At 40.5% G+C, this 23,621-nt stretch overlaps 2 protein-coding genes across 8 annotated transcripts in view, besides 2 other annotated features; one reads left to right on the forward strand and one right to left on the reverse strand.

Annotated features, from left to right (window-relative positions):
• CEP128 (centrosomal protein 128) overlaps nt 1–2,979 on the reverse strand; it is a 482,534-nt gene extending 479,555 nt beyond the window's left edge. For 4 of the 5 annotated variants that reach the window (XM_047431022.1, XM_011536492.3, XM_047431019.1 and 1 more), the window contains exons 1-2: nt 2,909–2,979; nt 1,655–1,762 (exon numbers count right to left, since the gene is read on the reverse strand). The gene's annotated coding sequence lies outside the window, so the exon portion shown is untranslated. The remainder of the gene's footprint in view (nt 1–1,654; nt 1,763–2,908) is intronic. The other variant, XM_047431021.1, reaches the window with a different exon arrangement.
• The window catches only part of TSHR (thyroid stimulating hormone receptor), a 190,686-nt gene that overhangs the window by 903 nt on the left and 166,162 nt on the right, over nt 1–23,621 (forward strand). The window lies entirely within an intron of this gene.
• Nucleotides 16,296–16,797: an enhancer, noted in NCBI's record as "H3K4me1 hESC enhancer chr14:81439163-81439664 (GRCh37/hg19 assembly coordinates)". NCBI's record gives its function as "activates a minimal SCP1, AML or CMV promoter by ChIP-STARR-seq in naive H9 embryonic stem cells {active_cell/tissue: H9 hESC(naive)}" and the evidence as "EXISTENCE:reporter gene assay evidence [ECO:0000049][PMID:30033119]".
• Nucleotides 16,798–17,297: an enhancer, noted in NCBI's record as "H3K4me1 hESC enhancer chr14:81439665-81440164 (GRCh37/hg19 assembly coordinates)". NCBI's record gives its function as "activates a minimal SCP1, AML or CMV promoter by ChIP-STARR-seq in naive H9 embryonic stem cells {active_cell/tissue: H9 hESC(naive)}" and the evidence as "EXISTENCE:reporter gene assay evidence [ECO:0000049][PMID:30033119]".

Consider the following 23,621-nt stretch of genomic DNA (forward strand, 5'->3'; position numbering starts at 1 on the left):
GATTATACACACACAACCTGTTTCTTAACAGCAATTTAAATCAGTGATCATTGAAATTGTAGACAAAACCAAGGGAATAAAGTCTGTCTTGATTAGTTAAAAAGAGAACAGAAAGAAAGGACAGTAAAACAACCTAGGCTGGTTAAATCCAGTTAAGATAAAAAAAAATGCAGGTTATTAAAGAAAATGTTGATAGATGAAAAGAAATGGGAAAGTTGCACCTCTAGATTTTCTCAAGAATTTAGCTCATGAAGACTATTTAACAGTAGATGAATATTTGAGCACAGAGATATATTTCTGTGCTCAGAGATATCCTAGTGTCTTAGCACACCTGAATTAATTAGTTCAATAACCTCCAAACAGTGTGGTAGTCATTCTCCATGCTGCCACCACAGAATAAGATGTGTAAAAGGTGTAATGGCCTCTTGATTACACCTCTACATAGGTTGCTTGTCACCTCTAGAATAAAATTCTTTTGTGCAGCCTACCAGATCTTTCAAGACCTAGTCAAGTCTTTCCAACCTCATTGCTCCTCATTTCTCTAACTTCCCCCTCCTGCTGAGAACTTCTGGCACTTCCCCAAAGGTCCCTGCTGTTACAGCTGCCCTTGCCTTTCTTCCCACTTTCTGGCCCCTCTGCCTGAAGCACATTTCACCCATTTCTTCACCCAGCTAATGCCTACTCCCAGATCCAGATCCTGGATCAACCCTGCAGGAAGCTTCTCCTGACCCATGACCTTCAGGCTGGGTAAGCTATACCCCCCTTCCCAACAGCGTTCTCTGCATGAACCTAACCCTAGCCCTTAGACATTGTCTACTTTCTTGTAACTTGTTATTTATTTGCATGCCCACTCAAGCAGGACACAAGCTTCTCTAACATAGGGAACTGCCATTCAACCCCGAATTCCTGAAACCCTGGAACTACTTAGACACTCAGAAAAAACAAAAAAAAAAAAACTTAAGTGAATAAATAAACAAATGAATATGCCAGGTCTCTGAATGTCCACTCTATGTTGGGGAGAAAGAAATCCAAAGACATCACTTCTTCAGAGACTTCTTTAACAGTGGCAGAAATTCAAGTCATTGAAGAGAGATGTGGCTCTGACAGTGAAAAGGAACTCGTAGACATCCTGTTTAAAATTCCACCAAAAGTTGAGAAAGAAAGGGTAATGGAGAATGAGCAATGGAACAGGAGTCAGGAAACCAGCATTCTCTTTAGCCCTTCTTTACTAACCATGAAATTGTGTAAGATGACTGATTTGGAAGGAGCCAAATTTCCTTCTGGGTAAAAGAGAATGTTCAACTAGGTGCTTTCTAGGTGATGACATGATGCTGATGAGAATAGTCTGAGGGAAGGCACTGAATCACAAGAAAAAGACATAAAGACAGTGGCAAGGAGGATCTGCCCTTGAGAATAATGGAGAGGGAGGTAGTATGTCCTGAAGAATAAAGTTATTCTGAGATCGAAAAGAGAAACCTGATAAAAAGTGTGGGTAAAACAAAATGGTAGTCTCCTTTGAACAATGGCTACTACCATCTGCAACAGTAGAAAAATGATTTTTAAATCTTTTGGGGGCGGTAGAACTCTTTGTTGAAGAAAAGCATATGAGAGAAGTAAAACATGTAAAGCTAACAATTATATTGTGTTTACTTACGGGGGCGGGGGGTCCTGTTCTCAGCGCTTTGCATGAACTCACCCAGTGAATCCTCACCAAATCCAATTAAGTAGGTGATGTTATTATGCTCATTTTATAGATGAGGACCTTGAGGCACAAAAATAAAATGAAGTAATTTGCTCAATGTTGCACAGCTTGTAAGTGGTAAAGTCAGGATTTGAATATCATATCATCAACTATGGAGCCTGCACCCTTAAGCCACCACTCTCAGATGAGAAGTGTGTCTCACCACACCAGTGTTCCCCTGATGGTCATAGGCTTTGGAGAAAAAAGTCTGAAAACAAGTCACATTCAGTAAACCGACTGATAACCTCGGGGGCTATTCATCAGATGCAAGAACTCAGAAAGCAGGAGGTTAGCAGGGAAAGGAAAGAAGAAGGAAGGAAGAAAGAGAGAGTGGAAGAGAGGCAAGGAGGACAAGAAAGACTAAGTTAGTCTTTCTTGACAAGAAAATCTAGATCTTTTTTTACATCTTTCTAGACAAGAAAGATCTAAGTTATGGAAGGTATTCCTTGCTGAAATAAACCAAGTTTTTGTCATTAAAAAGCCGTTCTGGGTGGTGACCTCTTTTTGGAATCTACTTAAATTATACAGGATCTACTACTGAGGCATGTTCTCTCACAAGTTTTGTATTATTCAGAGTGTACCTCTTTTTAAAGTTTTTGAAGAGCTTACACTGGTTTAAAATGTAAGGTATTTTGTTCCTGTAGAGTTATTTGCATTACTTCTGCAACCTTCATTAAGATGCTGTATAACCACTTCTTAGACATTTTACAAATTATGATGGTGCCGAGAACAACTCTTTCTAAACTTTATCTTCTACTCATAGATTATTGTTCTGAAAGGTAAACAGCTCTCTTGCCCTACTACCCATATCCCAGCCCCGTGGTCTTATGGATGCAGGGGAGAGAGTTACGGACTGTGGCCCTCACTGAAGAAGTGATGCTGTATCTTTTCCTCACTCCTCCCCTCCAGAAGGGTATGATGCTTTACCTGAGTGGAAGGTGAGGGAGAGCTGGGATCCCTACTTCCCCCACTGCCAGTGGAACATTCTAGAATCTTTGATGTGTAGGTAGTTTGAAAAAAATCACTCTCTTCCATTGAAAATTACTGATTTAAGGAAACTTAAATGAAGCAAGAGAATAAAATTAAAAATTTAAATGTTGGCATATAATTATAGATCATATATCTCAAAACCAAGGATAACAAGATTGACCCATCACCCTCTCTTACTCAGAAAGTTGCCATTTGTTGCCTCTGTGCATGAGAAGATCCTTCCTTCTCTGAATAAGGAGGTAGAAAGGATTTGACAACCATTCTGCACCACTCTATGTATTTGTGTGGATTCTTCCTCCAGAAAGTGCTGGCACGCCTTACTGTGTTGTTTTAACCCTGCTTTCAGTTTCATTATGACAGTAACTGCTACATCTGCCTTCTCCAACCCCACTGCCATCTGTGGTCTTGGGTTTCGACGAAGTAAGTGGTTTGGACACCTGTGTGCCTTCAGATATGTTTCTGAAGGAGCTGTTGTTTTCAGGTTCTGTTTTTACTCATTTGCATTCTGCATCTGTGGCTCTAATTGATGGACTCTCCTACTGTTTACTAAACTGAAGACAATCATTCATCATCTTTGGCATTTGTACCCTGTGTTCCATCTGTGCTGTTATTTACTCAGTATTTTTAAGTTGACTCGCTTCTCTAACTGAAATTTATTTAGAAAGGTTACAAGTGGAAAATTAGCATGACTTCGTACAAATAAGAGGTAACCAGAAAACTAAAGACAGAAAAAACAAAAATATAATTAAATTCTAGCTACAGACTATTGTCTGTGAATACACTGAGCCTACAGCTGCCTTCTCTTTGTTAAAAAGGAAGCAAAGTAAGTGTTAATAAGTATTAAAGAGATAACAATCTGGCACGGTGTCCTTGGTAGTATCGAAAGGATGGAAAGACAATAGAGAAAGGAATTACTTTCTCACTGTGTGATTCACGGTTATTTAATGCCAGGTGGGCACTCCACCTAAAATAATCTCACGTACCTCCAAGTCATCTTTGTTCCACACTTAAAGAAATGTGGATGTTTTGTATATTTCACAATGGTTTTAGTCACAATCAGTGGTTGTAATCTGAATAACAATTGTTTCCAAGCTAAAGAGAAGCCCCCTGCTTCAACACCCACGTGCTCCCCAAACACAGCCCCACACATATAAAGGTGACTTCATTTCATATATCCAGGCTCTGTGAATTATTCTTTTCCATTCTCTCTCTCCTCTCCCATACATATGAAACACTGTTCTAAGAGGAGTGAAGAATTCTGACCTGAAAGTTAAAGGGATTTGATTTATTCACTTGGAATGAACATAATAATGAACAATAAAATGTGTCCATCATATATATATGAGAGAGAATATATAGAGAGAGGGAATATATCTGTATACCTATGTGTATATATATTTAGACAGATATATATGTGTGTATTTAAATCAGTCAAGGTTTCTGATGATAAGTAACAGAAAACCAACTCTGTTTAGGTTAAGGAAGAAAAAAAATATTTTGAAAGAACATGTAATTTACAGAATTACTGTAGGACCAGGCTTTGAAAATAGGCCAAGGCCTACTGTGGGCAAGGAACTGGAGCCACAGTGAATCATCTGTTTAGGACAATTCCATGGGCAATATAGAAACCACAGCCACTGGACATCTGCGGTCTTGTAGCTGCCAGACTGTCTATGTGCTGCCATCAATAATTTCCCAACTGTCCCTGTCTCTTTAAATATCCTACCTGGGAGTAGTATCCTGTATGGGAGCATTTGATTGGCTGGCAAGCCATAGCTGCTGGAGGTAGGAAGAGAAAGGTGGTCACCCGCCCACTTTTGGCGTCTGAAATAGGAGACGCAGAACTGGGTCCTTCTAATATTCCACACAACAGGGGATTCCCCACTGAAGAGGGGCCATATGCCCTCTACATTGCTCATTACTTCCTTCATTCTGCAAATCTTTACTAAGGACTAACTATATCCCAGACACTGTGTCACACTCTGGACTTAATGGAGAACACCACCAACACGTCCCTGTCTGCAGGGATCTTACAGTCTAGTGTGGGAGCTGCATATTAATCAAATAATTACATAAACACAGAGTTATAATTGTATAAGTGTGCTTGAGTATGCTCTTTGTAGGGGTGAGGGATATTTACTTAAACTGAGGTTCAGCGAAGGCTTTGAGCTACCTCCTGAAGAACCAGTAGGAGTTGAGTGTAAGAAGTTTCAGTGGAGCAGGTAGAAGGTGGAGATGTGGTGTTCAAGAGCTTTGAAGAATTCTGACCTGAAAGCTGAAGGGGTTTGATTTATTCACTTGGGATGAACATATTAATGGACAATAAAATTTGTTACTACTCCCTTCATAACTCAGTACAGGTTGAGGTGAATTCTGATGTCCTTGGGAGCAGTTTCTATGCACACACAAAAAAAACAGTTAATGGGGGTAGCTGGCTTCGTAAATTAATATTTGGTTTGTTAAAGAAATAAATGTAAAACCTAGTTCTTTATTGAGTTTTCTATGTATTTATTATTTTGTTTGGAAATCTAATCGTAACAATTACTTTGAGGAGTATTTTATCATTTAATATTTTAATAACTGATTTCCCATATAGTTTAATCAAATAATAAATAATTTAAATGAAAACAAATTTAATGTATTTTATTTTAAAGTACTTGAATGCTTGATGAAACCTTCCCAATCCTTAGAAAATTTGAAAACATCTATTATATTAAACTTTATAAGTACCAGGAATCCTATGTTTTTAGATTGCCAAACTCTGGAGTGAGATCCTCCGGGTTGAATGCCTTGGTCTGCTATTTCCTAAATATGCTTTGGGAACATTGCTTAGTTCCTCTGGGCCTCAGTTTCTCCATCTATAAAAAAAGAGTAATAATAGGCCCTGACTCACCAGATTCCTGGGTGGTATGAATGAGTTAATACTGTCAACAGATAATTTTCAAAGAAAGGAAAAATTGTAACTTTCATACACCTATAAATTGAACACATGTTAAAGATTTTAATGAACTCATTGATGAGTGTATATGAATTGCCTAAGATTGCCATAACAAAGTACCACAAACTGAGTGGCTTAAAACAACAGAAATTTACTCTCTCACAGTTCTGGAAGCTAAAAGTTGGAAATCAAGGTATTGGCAGGGTCATGCTTCCTCTGAAGGCTCTTGGGACAAATCCTTTCTGGCTCTTCCTAGGGGCTGGTTGCTGTTGGCAATCCATGGCATTCCCTGCATCACTCCAATTATTGGTTTTAGGCTCACCCTCATTCACTATGGACTCAACTTAACTCATTACATCTACAAACATTGTATTTCCAAGTAAAGTCACATTTTGTGGTTCCAGGTAGATATGAATTTTGGGGGCATGCTTTAACCCACCATAATGAAGAACCTGGTAAGATATTACAACTGGCTTAAAGGGTAGCCCACCAACTAGACATATTTATAAATTAGGAATATCAGAGTGACTATGCAGATGGAGGCCAAACTAGCTTCTTCCCTAGTCAGGGAGGGAAGTTCATAGAAGCTCTTCCATACGGGACAGAATTTACAATCCGTAGACAAAATTGTTTTGCATTGCTACAATTATCTACAATCTAGAAAGGTGTAAAATAATTCCCATAGAATCAGACTGAGAAACTTGGAAGGGTGTGCTCTAGTCAATTCACAGCTTTTCATTGAAACACATTTTTCCCCAGTAATACATGCAAAATTATAGAAAAGTTACCACCTCCCAGTGAGCACTATACAAGTAAACTTATTAAAACCTCTAATTTCCTTTTCAACTTAAATCACAAGTCAAAATAAATTACTCAATTATACATTTTAAATTGGAATAGCAAGACCAATCTATTAGATATCCCAAGTAGGTCAACAACTTCTGTTAATACAAATACTCAAAATACCAAATATATATTGATTATTCTTAAACTCAACACAAACATATTAATACTATGGGTCTGATTTAGATTCTCATTTCTATTGTTAACTCTAAATTTTCCCAAGCTAAAAAATGTTTATTAATTTTAAAAATTGATCTTCATCCCCTAATGAACTCCAGGTTCTTTATGGAACCATCCACTGGTTTCCAGGTTCCATATAGTTAGGGTTGCCCTATCCAAATGGACCCTCCTCTTACACCTGTAAGGCAGAAAATATCTTTTCTTTACCCATCACATGGTGCATGGCTGAGACCCTACAACAACAACAAAAAACAGATTGACAAGAAAAAAAACATTAAACAACTATTAAATATAAGTTTTACATGACACAGGAGGCTTCAGTAATAAAGACCCAAAGGAACAGAGAAAACTGTATCTTTTTATGGACAGTCATACAGATTGGAGGACAAAAGGATATGATCGAATGGTAATAAACTGTGGTCTGTGGGGCAGATCTTAGCAAGTCTTATTTGTTCAAATTCATCTTGATGTCTTTGTGTCTTCATTCCTTTTCTCCTGGTGTAGGGAGAGCCCCTCTGAAATGAGGGTCTTAAGACCTACTTTAGAGGAAGACCAGAGAATTGTCTGATGACCTGACTCAGGGGAGAAGGGCAGGAAAAAGTCGGAGAGACCTTCTGCTTCTGTTGTTTTCTCAAATGCCAAGGTGTCACATTTGGGGATAGAATGTCTTGAACCCCATTACATCTGTCATTCAAGTGTAGTTAATAGCATTCCTTTCACTCTCAAAGGTGTCCCAATTTGGGGGATAAATTGCTAATACTAATAGATCTTCCTATTAGACCATGAAGTCCAGAGGCCCGTGGGACATGCTCAGCCTTGTGTTTCATTGCCGTAGGTGGGAGTCTATCACTTAAAAGAAGGTTGGTCTCAGCCAGGTGGGGTGGCTCACGCCTGTAATCTCAGCACTTTGAGAGGCGGAGCGGGGGCGGATCACGAGGTCAGGAGATCGAGACCATCCTGGCTAACACGGTGAAACCCAGTGTTTAAAAGTCCAACCTCAACAATCAGATCAGTTTTGATGAGGCCAAGACCATTCAGACATGATATCAGAGGCATAGATCCAGAATGTCCAGTTATTTTCATCTGTGTGAACAAATTAGCTATCCTGGGGCCTAAGTCTATTCTCTTAGATCACCTCTGATGAAGTAGTAAGCATAGAAAACTAATTCGTAATACATAAAACATATTGTTAAATGAATTAGTTTTGTCTGAATTTATCAGTCAATTTACTAGAGTAGTAGTTTTTTGTCCAGAGCTGAGAAATTAAGTTGAATTGATCTATTTGATTATTTCAGTGTTTCCTGGTTATACAAAGTGTGTTTGTTACCCTTCAGACTAAGGTTTATTAGACAAAAGTTCATGGGCCTCCAGGAGTTCATGGTTGTGCTCTTAGGAATCTGTGGTTGTGTGAAAATTTGTCCCCATCAGTGCATTTCTGAGACTCTATAACTTTCCTTAGATCTTCAAAGGTGTCCTTGACCCCTCACAAGTTAAGAAATTCTGCTTTGGAATAATTTGGCATTTTGTAAGTGTACTCACTATGACTCAATCTTTTTATTATATTACAAACAACCCTAACAGACATATTTTAACAATAAATGAAAATCGCCTGACCTTTGTGTGGCAAGCTGTCACAGTTAGTTACTACTTGAGACTGTCATTTCAACAGTTACTACTGTTACTACTTGAGACCGTCACTAGGACAGTTACTACTGTTACTACTTGAGACCATCATTGTGAGAATGAACAAAGGAATGAACGTAGAAATGAAAAAGTAAGACGAAACTGTTTTAAAGAAAGTGTCCAGGGGAAGAAGAAGAGAGCTCCCTGCTTCTAGTGAGCAAAGGCAGCCCCTGAGCTTCCACAGCCCTTTGTATTTATTGGGTAGCAAGGGCAGGGAGGAGGAGGTAACGATTGGTCGGCTGCTTAATTGATCATGGGTTCATATTGTTACTAACAGGCTTCAGATGTACCTAATTACAAGCAACACTGCGCTTGGGGTGTGACTGCCCTCAGCATTCCTTCTGGGTGGAGGACGCACTTTTGTCAGTTTGCCAACATTCTGCATTTATGAGAACAGTTTGCTGTTTACTCATAGAGCCTCCAGTGGTATAGTGAGTTGATCACGACCCTCACTCTTTCAGCCTGCAACACCTTTGAATGTCATGGTTTTCCTTCTGAACATGTTATTGTGGTGATTACTTTCTTCATGGCTCACACTTAGCCTGTCCCTTGATAGGCTCTTCACACAGAAGTTCACTGAATGTTGCCACTTTTTCAAGTCAATAGTTGACAGATTTTTTCAAGTTTCTAATGCCTCCTACATGATGGTAAATTCTTCATACTGACTCTGTTTCCATTTTTACTGAAGCTGGTCAACATACTTAATTACTCTCTTTCATTACATTAATTAAAAAATAGCATTTGAAAATTTTAAGAATGAGCAAAATGGTCCCATTTGTTCAAAATTATAGATTGAGTTTTAAAGTGTTCCATTTAGATATCAGACCCTACTTACTTGGCTTCATTTCTGTATGAACCTTTAAGAACATTTAGGGTATTCCAGAAATTTTCAAAATAATTTTTTAATTACAAAGTTGGCACTTGTGATTTTTAAGACATCTTATAAATATTGTTCTCTTATATGTGGTGACAGGTATATGTGCTCTGGATTTTTATAGCACAGTCCCACTGAAAAGACTGCCATCAGAATGTTCCAGAAATTCAAATATTTCATCATCCTTTTAATCTAAACTTCCCACATCACTTGCACACCTGGAAAGAGCTTCCTTATGTCCAAATTTTTCTTTCAGAAAACATGATCTCTGTATTTATATGACACATGAAGCTTTTGGCTTATATTTTGTAGGCATTAACTTAATCTTACCCATGCCTGTGTGTTCTCATAATTATGCAACTCCAGCGAGGAGACTGAAATTGTTTCCTCTTATTGCCAGGTACTGTCACTTTATATTTTGTTATTTCAATCTTTTTTTAAGCCAAGAAACTAGAAGGCTACTTTTAGGAAAGGGCTCTGTGCATGAAAATAAAGAGGATCTAAGGACGGGCATAAATGAGATACTCTTCCATGAGAAAGTCTTTAGTGGGCTTTGAGATGGCAGTATTTCCATCTCAACACCCTTGGCAGTTATTTCTGGGTTTGTGGACATGATCCAAAGATTTGAGATGACCAGAAATACTACCTCTAGATAGGTGGCATTTTATTGTAAAATGTTCTTCCTTCTTTCCTTTTTTATATTTTAAATAAATATGTATTGATCACCTATCATACACTAGTACTATTCTAGGCATTGATATATAATAAACGACCTCATTGATTTTACATCATAACAGGAGAAAATAGCAAAAAAAAAAATAAAAATTTAAAAATTTAAAAAAGTAAAACAGAGAATGTCAGATGGTGAAAAGTATAATGGAGAAATATAAATGAAGGAAGAGGGAGAAGGAATACTGGAAGTTGCATTTTAAATAGTCAGCAAGGTGTCTTAGTTTGGGATCCTCTAACAGAATACCACAGACTGAGTGGCTTACACAATAACCATTTACTTCTCACAGTTCTGGAGACTGGAAGTCCAAGATGAGGGTGCCGGCAGATCTGTTGTCTTGTGAGGGCTGCTTCCTGGTTTGCACTTGACCACCTTCTCATTGTATCTTCACATAGCAAAAAGCCAAGCTCACCTCTCTTGTGTTTTTTATTATAAGGGCACTAATTTTGTCATAAGGGTTCCACACTCATAAACGAATTTCCTCCCAAAAGCCCCATCTTCTAATACTATCACATCAGAGATTAGGATTTCAGCATATGAATTTGGGGGACACACAAACATTCAGTCCATAACAGAAGCCCTCACTGAGAAAATGACATTTGAATAAGGACCTGAAGAAGCTAAAAAAGGAATCCAGGCTAATATCTGGAGGAGAAAAAAAAATTATATATATATATGTATGTGTATATATATATATATATATATGCTTATTTTTGGAATGAGATAAGAAGCTATTAAGGATTTTGAGCCACACACACACACAAGCAAGACCTGACTTACATTTTTTTTTTTTTTTTTTTTGAGACAGAGTCTCACTCTGTTGCCCAGGCTACAGTGCAGTGGTGTGATCTCGACTCTCTGCAACCTGCACCTCCGGATTCAAGCAGTTCTCCTGCCTCAGCCTCCCTAGAAGCTGGGATTACAAGCATGTGCCACCATACCTGGATTATTTTTGTATTTTTAGTATAGATGGGTTTTCACCATGTTGGTCAGGCTGATCTCGAACTCCTGACCTCAGGGGATCTGGCCGCCTCGGCCTCCCAAAATGCTGGGATTACAAGTGTAAGCCACCCCGCCCGGCCCTGACCTGACTTACATTTTAGTAGGATCACCCTAGCTACTATGTTTCTTAATCGGGTGAGAGATGATACTGGCTTGAACCAGCTTAATTGCAGGGAATGTGGTAAGAAATTTCCTGGGCTTATTTTGGAGGTGAATCCAACAGGATTTTCTAGCGGACTATGTGGACTTTGAGTAAAAGAGAGGAGTCAGTGATATCTTAGTCTGAATTCTCCAGAAAGCAGAGCCCATGTGAGAATTCTTGTTGGGGAGTATGATCCCAGGAGCAGAAGGTAGGATGGGGAAGTGAAGCAGGGAGAGAGGGAGAGTTTGCTGCTGCTAGAAACAAATGGTTGCTGAAACCCCTGAGACCACCTGAGAATTCAGATGACTTGCATCTCAGGACCCTTGCTTTAGGAAGGAGGAAAGGTAAAACATCTATCCATCAGTTCTTGGCTCCCATGAGTCAGGGATTTAATTCTACTGACCTTCCAGGTTTCCTGTGCCTGGGTGATGAAAGAATTTCCTGATATTAACAAAAAAGTCCCCAGGTGGGAGATGAGAGGTGTGTGGTACAGGGCTGAGATGCAGTACTGTCGAGTTGTACCTGCCTGAAGCTAGTCAGAGCTCATACAGAACTGGTAGCTGCAGCAGGGCTAGCATAAGAGGCAAGCTGAGAGAATCTAAAATGATGTAAAACAGGTACCCAGGGTTGGTTAGCCTTTGCACAACTCAGACCTGCCCAAGCTTTTCATTATGTCTAGCTCCCATAATAAAATATAGGGCCTCCGATTTTGTAAGAATGAGATGTCCTTACTTTTTTTTTTTTTATTCTTACAAGAAAGGGGAATACAAGCCCCATCTTCCACAGATTCCTTCAAGATGCAGTCCTTGCAAAGACATAATGCAAGAGGGTTTGGGAAATAAACTAGTCTGCCCTGCTGCAGCTGATCTTAAGGATGCCATTGATAGTCCTTATCTCTCTTTGACTCCAATCCTAGATTTGTCTCACCCTTGCCCAGCACTCTGACTGGTTGAGTTGATTGCCTGATGGAAAGACCCAGACTTCAGCTCCAAGGGTTCTGAAAGCTTAGTTGCCTTGTTCTTGTCATATATAGCTGCTGTATTTTCTCCTTCACCATTATCTGTGGGCTCAAAAGAACCAAGAGATGCCCCAGTGAATTCCCTGCATTCTAGACACACTCCTTACTCTTCCTAATGTGTAGCAGCTGCCCTAGCTTCTCATGGTAAAGAGGGCCTAATATTTCTCAATAGAGAAACTCCTTTATTTACCTATTTGTCCTCTAGCATGAGAAGCTCAAATGACCAGGTGGTCATTATAGTATCAACCTCCCTGTATTGGAGGAGGAAGAAGTAATCTTTCTCCTCAGGAACTAGTACCATTAATTGGGCAGGAATACAGACAGGAAGCTCAAAATTTGAATGTTAGGTTACTAGGGTGATGGTGAGATGAGCCAATTCTATCATTGCCCCCGGGTTTTCAGACATGTGTATCCTAGCTACATAGAACACAATAGCATATGTTGGCTATTGATTCAGCTCATATCCTTTCTTAGATCAGATCCCCAATCCTGCAGGGCTTTGTCCCCAAGATGGCACCTTAGCTGAGTCTTTAATTCATTCCACCATTCTCGTAGGCAGTCTGGTTCTTCATGACAGGGCACATAGTGAGACTAGTGGATATAGTGTTCATATGCCCTTTGTTGCACCTTCTCTGCCATGAAATGCATCCCTTGGTTGAGGCAATGCTGTACACGTTTTCATACTGGTAGATCAGGTATTTTATAAACCCTTAAATGGTGGTGCCGGTGGAGGCATTGAAGTCAGAGAAGGCCAAATCCAAAGTAATCATGAGGTTTTAAATGAATTACTATTTCTTACAGGGTGGAAATGGTCCAGTATAATCAAACTGCCACCAAATGACTGGCTGTTCTCTTTAAAGAAATGTGCCTTACCAAGGGTGCAGCAATGGGCTATACTGCTGAAAGGTTGGTCATTTACAGGAGAAGTATCTTGATTAGACTTGATGAAAAGGAGCCCAAGCCATTGGGTCCATGCTTGGCTTCCATTCCTGTCACCATGACCACTTCATTCATGTTCATTTCTCCAAAACTGGATGGCATTTATAAAATGAGTCATCTAGTCTACCTGGGTGTTGAGATTCACCGCAAACCAGAGTAATCAGTGGATACTCTCTGATGAGCATTAACGTGAGACACAAAGGTCCACAGAATTTGTTCCCACCCCCATAGATATAGCCATATTTGTTTCCTAGACTTTCTTGTTCTCTGTTTTCCAATAGTATTCTTTCTAGGCCAGTGGTCAACCAGGTAAATTACTTGCTACTTCTTGGTATTCCATGTATACCCTTGCCACGGTTCTTTCTCCCTTCATACAAAAAGAATGATTGCTATAATGCTCACAGATGAACTGACTGTGAAGATTTCCCTTCACCACTATCCTTTAGGGCCACCCTTGAGTGGGGCTGTAATGCAGCAGTAGTTCATTTTTTTTGGCTGGCATTAGCTTGTGCCAATCTGTAAAGCAGACACCAACCTATGAACTCCATCAAGTGGTCATATGGAGCTCTCCATGAAGCCAATTTCAGTGAGAGTGCAGCAGAAATAAGTGAAGTGGGAGTCTAGGCCACCTATTCATGAATTTACCTTCCCTTTCTAGACTTTCTTGATCCAGAATGTAAAATTTCTATCATAAAATCAATTGCTGCTGTGCTCACCTTATTTTATGTAGTAGAACTGGCAATACCCAATTCACAATGGGCAGCTGTAGTCACAGAGTCACTTAGTGTCCCATTGAAGAGATCTCAGTCTCTACTAGGGCAGAATAGCATGTCAGGAATTATTTTCCTCATAAAGGGTATTTCTGTCCTTCAGAAGGCAGATCCTTGCTCCAAAACTTTAAGAGCCTGAGCTTTCATTCTCTTCTTGGGACCTGCTGGCGAGTCCACAGAATATCCTTGTCCAGGATGGATATCTGTAGTGTTGTAAGACCTGCTGGGCTGGGCTGTATGGCCCACATGGCAGGGAAGCTGGCATTTCAGCCTGAATCTGTTATAGACTCTTGTAGGTCCTACCTGAAACTGGCAGCCTTCTGAGTTATCTGATAAATGGGAAAATGGGTTACACTGCTGCCAAAAGCCAAGACGCCCAGCAAGTGCTGTACTTCTTTGTAAAAGGTAGAAAGGGCAAGATACAACTGTATGTCCTATACCTTAGAAGGGATTTTTTTGTGAGACAGGGTCTCACTCTGTCACCCAGACTGCAGTGCAGCAGTAGTTCATTTTTTGGCTGGCATTAGCTTGGCTTGTGGCAACCTCTGCCTCCAAGGCCCAAGCAATTACCCTGCCTCAGCCTCCCAAGTAGCTGGGATTACAGGCACATGCCACTACTGCCCGGCTAATTTTTGTATTTTTAGTAGAGACGGGTGGCCAGGTTGGTCTTGAACTCCTGACCTCAAATGACCCACCCACCTCGGCCTCCCAAAGTGCTGGGATTACAAGCGTGAGCCACCATACCTGGCCAGAAGGGATTTTTTAGAATGCCGCAGACTAAGCATGTTGCTAATGGAAGAGGTCCCTGAATCTTTGTGGGATTTATCTGCTGCCCCCAACCTTCAGATTTCTTACTAGACTAGCTAGGCTTCTTTCTACTTTTTGCCCACCAACTCTAATTAGCATATCATCAGGTAGCAGACCAGTATGATGATGTGCGTGATGTCCAGATTATCCGTCCCCACAAACTCTTATGAAATGGAACCCCTTGGGCAAAGCAGTGAATTGGTATTGCTATTGTTCCTAGATAAAGGTTTACTACTTTTGATTCTCTCTATTGATAGGAATCAAGAAGAGAACACATTCACCAGATTGATAATCACATATAAAGTGCTACAGGCTGTGCTGATGTGTTCCAGTGAAGACATATCTGGCACAGCAGCTATGATAGAACCTACCTATTGGTTAAGTTTGTTAAAGTGCATTGTCATTCACCTTAATCTATTTGTTTGGGGTTTTTGTTGGTTTTGTTTCTTACAGGGGGCAGATAGGTGAATTGAAAGGATATGAAGCACCACCATTCTGCATCCTTTAAGTCTTTCAAGTTGACACTAATATCTGCAATTTATCCTTGGACATACTCCTGTCAGTATAAGCTCAAACCTTGTATCCAATGATCTTCAAGAAGCCTTGGATTTCTGTTTACCAGTTGACAGTTACTTTGGCAACTGGCCACAGGTCCCTTTTAGGAATGATTGGGGGACAGTCACCAATAATACTTGTAGTGGTATACACTTTCCCTACACTTCCCTAGGGGGATCCAGCAACACTTTTAATCAATGAATTCCTGGTTCCTGAGACATTAAAGTTTTAAAATATGTGCCTCTTAAGATGATGAAATATAGTAACTTGATGTGGTTACTATACACAGTACTAGAGGGAAGAATTTTCCATAACACAAATGTTTAGATTTAAATTCATGCCTTGAAGCCAGATAAATGAAGTATAAGCTATAATTACAAAACACCTAGTTCTTCAGTGTTTGGATTTATGAAAATTGCCATGATTGTTATCTATTGTGAGTTATTAATCCAAGTTACTTTTATTACATTTTAACAGTTTTAGCTATAACATAAATTCCATGGGTTTTCGTTTTTGTTTTTTGTACTACCTTAAAAAAACCTATCATTGTTCTGTGGGGTTTTTTTTGCTCAGTTATGTGTTTGTATCAGCTTTATGCCCAGACCCATACTATATGTCTTCACATATAATATCTCAGTGTTCACAGTGGTCTTCCTTGGGAGGTGTTTGACTCTCATTTAGATGCAAAACTGAGACCCAGAAATGTCATCTTTTTTGACTTTTATGTCACAGCTGGTAAGTGAAAGAGTCAGAATTCAAATTCATGTCTCCCAACTCTAAACCCAAAGCTCCTTCTACTATTCCATAGCTATCTTCCTAAATCTGGTCTATTTTCTCTCCCTCTCCCTCCCCTCCTCCTCTCTCAGTTGATGTGAAATTCACACAATATAAAATTAACCATTTTCAAGTATAACTACCATTCAGTGGCATTTAGTACATTCACAATAGTGTACAGCCAGCACCTGTATCTAGTTCCAAAATATTTTCATCATCTCAAAGGGGAGCTCGTGCCGATTAAGCAGTCATTCCCCATTCCCCACTCCTCCCAGCCCCTGGAAACCAGGAATCTGCTCTCCGTCCACATGGGTCTACCTATTCTGGATATTTTGTGTAAATGGAATGCTACCTTATGTGACCTTTGTATCTGACTGCTTTCACTTAGCATAATGCTTTCAAGTTTCATCTAAATTGTAGGGTGACAAAGAGTATGGGCAATCAGACAAGTGACCCAAAGGGAAAACAGATGTAAACAGGCCTGGCTAAAGCTTGCAGCAATTTTTGGACAGGTTCATTTCTAACACATCAATGTAGATAGCAGCCCCATTCCATGCTGTAATACCTTATACCTTAGATACAAAAATCTGAACATCAAAAAAATCTGCGTACTTGGCCGGGCGCGGTGGCTCACGCCTGTAATCCCAGCACTTTGGGAGGCCGAGGAGGGCGGATCACGAGGTCAGGAGATCGAGACCATCCTGGCTAACACAGTGAAACCCCGTCTCTACTAAAAATACAAAAAATTAGCCGGGCTAGGTGGCGGGTGCCTATAGTCCCAGCTACTCGGGAGGCTGAGGCAGGAGAATGGCGTGAACCCCGGGGGGCGGAGCCTGCAGTGAGCCGAGATCGCGCCACTGCACTCACGCCCGGGTGACAGCGAGACGCTGTCTCAAAAAAAAAAAAAAAAAAAAAAAAAATCTGTGTACTTATTCTCAGAGGCTTAGAGCTACCAAACATACTTTCCCGTGTCGAAAGGTTTTAAGAGTTCCCATCTTGTGAAGGAGGCTGTTTCTAGCCAGTTGGCAGAGGAACACTATGCATTTATCCCTTCTGGATCTCATGGCAATCTTAGGCAACATTTCTAGAAAGCGGCGACTTAATAGCAATGCATGAAGCCATTATTCATAACTCTTTTAGAGTCAATATTCATGCAAAGGGCTTTTCTCTGTTATAAGGAAGCTGAAGAACAATTCTAACAATATCCTATTTCTATCGATGTTTCTTATAATAATATTGGCTTCTATGCCTTTTTTTAAAATCTCCATTAACAAATTTAACCAATGTGCCAAGGAAGAAAATTTGCTGTGAATTGGAAAATGTTTAAATGAGAGACATAAATTATTCTTCACCTTATGTTTACCAGAGCTTACTTCTCAGTTATTTTTCCCCAACCTGCTTTAGATGTGGAGGCAGAAGAGGTGTGGTATAATTCTTATCTCCCACCATCGCCCTGGGTGGGAGATTCTATTTACTCAATTCACAGGGTGAACAAACTAGTAAGATCTGTAAAATCTGCTCTCCCCACAATGAGTGATTATACGGAGCTCATGAGCTAATGCTGGTAGCATGATGTAACAGAATACGCCTTGATCACAGGTTAGCTATTATTACTAATGCGGTGGTAGGTCTGAGAGCCTGTCAGATGTGGCCTGATTTAACCCTCGGTGTGAGCATTATATCAATTTGTGGAGGGCAAGCTTCCATGCAGGGACCATCCAGCAGCTGTTTGGCATCAGGGTTGCACAGCTTTATTAGGAAGAGCAACACTTGTCTACTTTTCAAAGGGGACATTTTAAAGACTTCCAAGAGTTCTTATCTTCTTCCAGATATATTCATTCCCAGTAGGGTAAAGGGACTGAAAGTCTAACTAGGGGGTCTCTGTGCCAATAGAGCACATAAATCTGTAAGAATGATTTATCTGTTCTGTGTCAGAGTTTGGCTGAAAATCCTGTTAGTACTGCCAAACCCTCCAGATGCCCATATTTAATGCTTGGTTGGCCTTATGTAGCATAACCAAATTGCCATTTCACAACCACCCTCAATCCCTGGAATCTAAAACAACAAAGCCAGAAGCTCTGAAATGTGCTTTATGAAGCATGAAAGAATCTTTTAAGGCTCTGTCTGATTCATTTCTGTGTGATGATAGAAGGTCTAATGTACTTGTGAAGGATTCCTTTTACTCGTAAGAAACTTGGCACTTTATAGAAAGTATGTATTTCATGACCAAAAAAATAGGGTGGCTTGGAGGGATTGTGCTTTCTTTTTGTATTGTATCCAATATGTTCAGTATCAACAGCAGCAAAATAAAGAGGAAAAATATCTGGTATAAAGCTATGTCAGCTAAAAGTCACGGTGAAGAGCAGAGGACAGTTTTCCACTGAATTCAGGGAAATTATTGCATGACTATGTGAAAGGACTACTTACACAGTAAGAGTGCTAAGTAGAAATGGACAGTGGAAGTCAGGAGACCTTCCATAAGTCCTAAGAATCTTAGCAAGGCACATAATCATTCTGTGTCTTACCTTTTGTATCTATTAAAGGAAAACCATAAGATGGTCATGTCCTATTTCAGAGAACTGTTAGGAAGACCAAGGACATCATTGTTCAAATGTTCATGGAGCTCTTCCTATTCAGGGACAATCTTCCCCATTCAGCAGAGTAAGACTATGGCAGGTTATTGTTTGTCACATATTTTGAAGAACACAAATGTATTATACAGGGATTCTGAAAGAACTTGACTATTAAAACAAAGCAACACAAATGAAGTATTTCATTTAAAAGAATCTACACCCATCCTTTTCTTCTCCACTTTTGTAGCAATACAAAATGAGTCCCTCCACCTACATCCATGTTCTTTTGGTTTCCTCACCCTATTTTGACTTTTTCCTCCCTCTCCTACTCTCTCAGATGCTTTTCACAGCTATCTAAACACACTCAAGTATCTTTCCTCTAAAAAAATTTCACTCCAATACGTTCTCACATTTGCGTCCACCTACCACTCCTTCCCTGCCTCTATCCTTCCCTTCACAGCTAAATGTTCATAAGGAGCTTTCTCATGTTGCTCTTCTGATTTTTTTACTCCCCATTCACCATTTAGCTTGGTGCAATCTGGCTTTTGCCCCCATTACTTAATTGAAAAAGGTCTTGCCAAAGTCATATTAACAACCTTTGTTGCAAAATCCAAAGGACATTTTAGATTCTTTCCTAAGTTGAATGCTCAGTAGCTTTTGTCACTGCTGACTGCTTCCCTTGGTTTTCTCCACATCATACTCCTTGATTGCCTGGTGCCTTACTTCAGGTCTTCTGAGCAGCACAGGAGGCAGGGCTGCTGTTGCATAATGGGGAGGATACTGAGCTGGTTAGGTGTGCCAACTGCACTCCTTGCAGCTTAACAGCAAATGCATTTTTTTTTTTTTTGAGATGGAGTCTCACTCTGTTGCCCAGGCTGGAGTGCAGTGGCACAATCTTGGCTCACTGCAAGCTCCGCCTCCCGGGTTCACACCATTCTCCTGCCTCAGCCTCCCGAGTAGCTGGGACTACAGGCACCCGCAACCACGCCCGGCTAATTTTTTGTATTTTTACTAGAGACGGGGTTTCACCGTGTTAGCCAGGATGGTCTCCATCTCCTGACCTCGTGATCCGCCCGCCTCGGCCTCCCAAAGTGCTGGGATTACAGGCGTGAGCAAGTACATTCTTAAACGAAGCCCTCACTTCCACAACAGCCACAGCCCACCCCTTGCAAGATACAGATCTGGTTCTCCACATACCTTTGGGGAACAGGTTATCCAGGATTCCAGTGGGCCTGTCTTCCTGAGGAGAAGCTTGAAAGAGGTAACTTAGGGAGTAGTCTGACCCCTGTTGCAGCGGTTGGTCTGTCTGGGATCACAATTGGTACTTATCATCTCTCTTCCACTGTTCATTTTAAATTCCCCCTCAGCTTTCACCTCTGCTGGTCTTGATGACTTATCTGCTGATATGATCAAAGCCTTCATTTTTGAGGGCCTGAACCCATAGTTACCATACTTTTCTTAGGCTGGGGTTATTGCACTTGTTTGTCTATAGTCACAATTGAGCAAGTATGTCCAACTGGATCATCTGAGTTCCAAATATATTTCTCCCTGTCCTCATTGTGTAACAGCAGCCCTGCTTCTTCCTCCTGATCAGGGTCAGTTACTCCTAACAAGATATTGACTTCTTCAGCCTGCTGGTCTCTGTATACAAGAAGTCCTGAATGCCCAAGTGGCAGTCATAGCCTGAGTTCTCCACAGAGCCTAGTATTATAGGAAGAGGAAACACAGACTCTTTCAGCGAATCATTGAATGTGATAAGTGGACTCTCTCCTGCTTCTGCCCAATGGTTCCCAGACCAATATATTCTTCCTAATTGGGATAACATCCATATAGAGGTTTGTGATGCAGTGTCTAGCCTGCATGATGATACCCCACCATGGCAGATGCCATGATGTAGGCAATTGCCTACAAATTGGCATTCCGGTTGTGCCTTTGGTAGGCTCTTGCATTGCTCTATAGAGCTACCTTCTCTGGATTATGTGATATGTGATAAAACCAGAGGATCCCATGGTCACAGGCTCATTCGTCTCCTCCTCTGTGAAGTGTGTCTCTCATGGTCGGATGCTGTGTTATATGGAATTCTATGTCTGTGGATCACTTTCAAATCCTCCAGCTAGTAGTGCTGCCTGGGACTTTGTAGGTAAGAAAGGCAAACAGTTATCTAGAATAAATGTTTACTACCATGACAATAATTCACAGGTCCTTCCAGGAAGAAATGGCTCAATGTGTCATAAAGTGGCCATGTGATCCCTGTTGTACTGCTCAGGTTTGATCCCTGGTATACCACTTTCCACTAGACAAATTGCTGCTGAGTCTGCCTGACATTCTGACTTAATGTATTCTACAGAGCTCAGCTCACAAGGGGCAGTTTAGAATGCATAGTTACTGGCTTCCATGGTCAAATATTCAGTCTCAAACAGGGCTCAGTAGCACCCCAAGAGATGTTTTTCTGCACTGCAGATGGTGTGGACTCACTCTAGAAATCCAGAGTACTGTATTTTGATTCTTCTATGAAGGCTTGCCACAAACTCCACACCAAACTACCTCTTTTTTCACTTTTCACTCTTCCAACACAATAGAGTCTATGAGATCATATGGCCCAAGAGGCAGGGCTGCTTGTACCACAGCCTGGTGCTGCAAAGTCCTGCTCAGGCCCTATTCCAAGTTGCCAGACTTACATGTTAACTGATACATGGGCGAAGCAATCTTTCTACAGTATTCAATTCAATGAATAAATCACAGCTTATTTGTCCATTTTCTTAGATATAAACAAAAGTATAACTCTTAACTGTAAGTTCTGAGTTTAGTCTTCAGCTCTTTCTAATATCCCCTTGCACCAGATATAGGCCTTCTCATACAGTGTTCAATTGCTTGTCAGTTGCTGTCAACTTTATCTCAGCATTAGCTGGCTGTAGTAGCTTCAAACTTAACAAAAATCCAGCTAATTCCTTCATCCTTGTATTCATTGCTTTCCTTCATCTTCCTTGCCTCCTCCTCAACAACATCCCTCCAACACACACACACACACACACACACACACACACACACATGCATGTGCACTTTTCTAAAGCATGAACATTGCACAGGCCAGGAAAGTTCTCTCACGGAACTTTCTTCCAAGCCATCATTGATTAAAGTTTTTAGTAATTGGGCTGCCACCCTGTGCCAGAGACTATCTGTGCCCCCTGTGCCACCCAGAATGGGATCCTCATCACCAGCTTGCAGGAAGTGATCTGCTCCCAAAACCTCATTTTACCTCCTGCTTTCTCAGACCAATTCCAGTACCAACTGTATCAGTTCAGTTATTCTGGGAAGCAGATGCTGAGACAGCGTTAGGAGTGCAAGTGGTTCATTGAAAGATAACATCTGTGAAAGATAAAGGGGGAGAGCCCCAGACTGTGCTACAGAGCTGACAAAATCTTGGCCAAACCAATGGGGAGCTCTAGAGCAAAGACTGCCTGTTAGAGGGACCCACATTAGGCATAGAAGCCAGGCTCTAGCACCACTGCCATGCTCAGCCCTGGGCTGTGGGCTTCCCGGGAAGAGTAGAGCCTTGGTTAAAACACTGTGACAGTTCCTGCAGGTGCTGCAGATGGAGGCTGGCAGCTAACTGCCTCCTGACAGTTACACAGAAAGCTGTTTCCTGGAGGGAGATCTGAGTGGTGCATCTCTGTGGCTGCCATACCCATTTTCTCTTTCATCTTCTCTGTTTGCACATCTGCCTTTCTGTACCAGCTTCTCTTTCTTCCTCTACCTATCATTTAAATGATGCTGGATGGTTTTGAGGTTCTTATCTCATGCCACACTTCTCCAGCCTCGCCTACTCCCATTCATACATCTAATGAGATTCTAATGAATTTGAATTTCAGATCTGTAAGCCAGGTCTCTTTTCTGAGCACTAAACTTATTTCATCCAATTGCTCACTAAAATATCATACAGTGTCCTTATATTTAACATTTCCAAAGGTGACATTATTATCTTCTTGGCCAAAACTATCTGTATACCCATCTCAGTGAATGGATCCATCGGTTACCCGGATGCTCAAAACAGCATAGTCATCTGCAACAACATGGATGAACCTGGAGGATATCATGTTAAGTGAAATTGGCCAGACACAGAAAGACAAGTGGTGCATGATCTCATGCATATGTGGAGTCTAACAACATTGATCTCGTAGAAGCATCATGCATATGTGGAGTCTAACATCATGCATATGTGGAGTCTAATGACATTGATCTCATAGAAGCAGAGAGTAGGATAGTGGTTACCAAAGGCTGTGCAGAGGGTAGGGGGAGGAAGAAATGAGGAGAGGTTGGTCAACAGGTATAAAGTTACAGTTAGGTAGGAGGAATAAATTCTGATGTTCTATTGCACAGTAGGGTGACTATGTTAACAATAATGTATTGTTTATTTCCAAATAGCTAGAAGAGATGATGTTGAATGTTCTCACCACAAAGAAATGATAAATGTTTGAGGTGATGGATTTGCAAATTACTCTGATTTGATCATTATACAATGTATACATGTATCAAAACAGCATACCGTATTCCAAAAATATGTGCTAATTAAAAATAAGAGAAAACTAAAAACATAAAATCAGTATTTAAAGACAAAGAAAAACAGACACATAGGATTATTCTTGATACTTTCTTCTCACTCATCCCTAATATCAAATCCATTATTAATTATTACTAGTCTAAATATATCTTGAATCTGTCTCCATTTCATTTGTTTTCATCTGAGTTCTCACCACTAACATTTTTTTCCACCTGAATGGAAATGGAGTTTCTTTTGTTCTTGCTAAACACAGCAGTGAGGGTGATCAGCCTGTACTGCGGATGGGGTCTCGGTCTCTTGAGTAAAATACGCTATTGGCTTCCATTGCTCTTCAGAAAATTTCAGACTCTTCACATGGTTTATGAAGTCCCCGTGATCTGGCCCTGCTTGCTTCTCTTTGCAGGCAGATCTTTTACTAGTTTCCCTCCACTTTAGTCACTTCTATTATTTCAGCCACTTTGAACTATTTTTATATTCTAGAATTTTATTTCAGCCACTTCGAAC

The sequence above is a fragment of the Homo sapiens genome, chromosome 14 (assembly GCF_000001405.40).
Source record: "Homo sapiens chromosome 14, GRCh38.p14 Primary Assembly".
Lineage (NCBI taxonomy): Eukaryota > Metazoa > Chordata > Mammalia > Primates > Hominidae > Homo > Homo sapiens.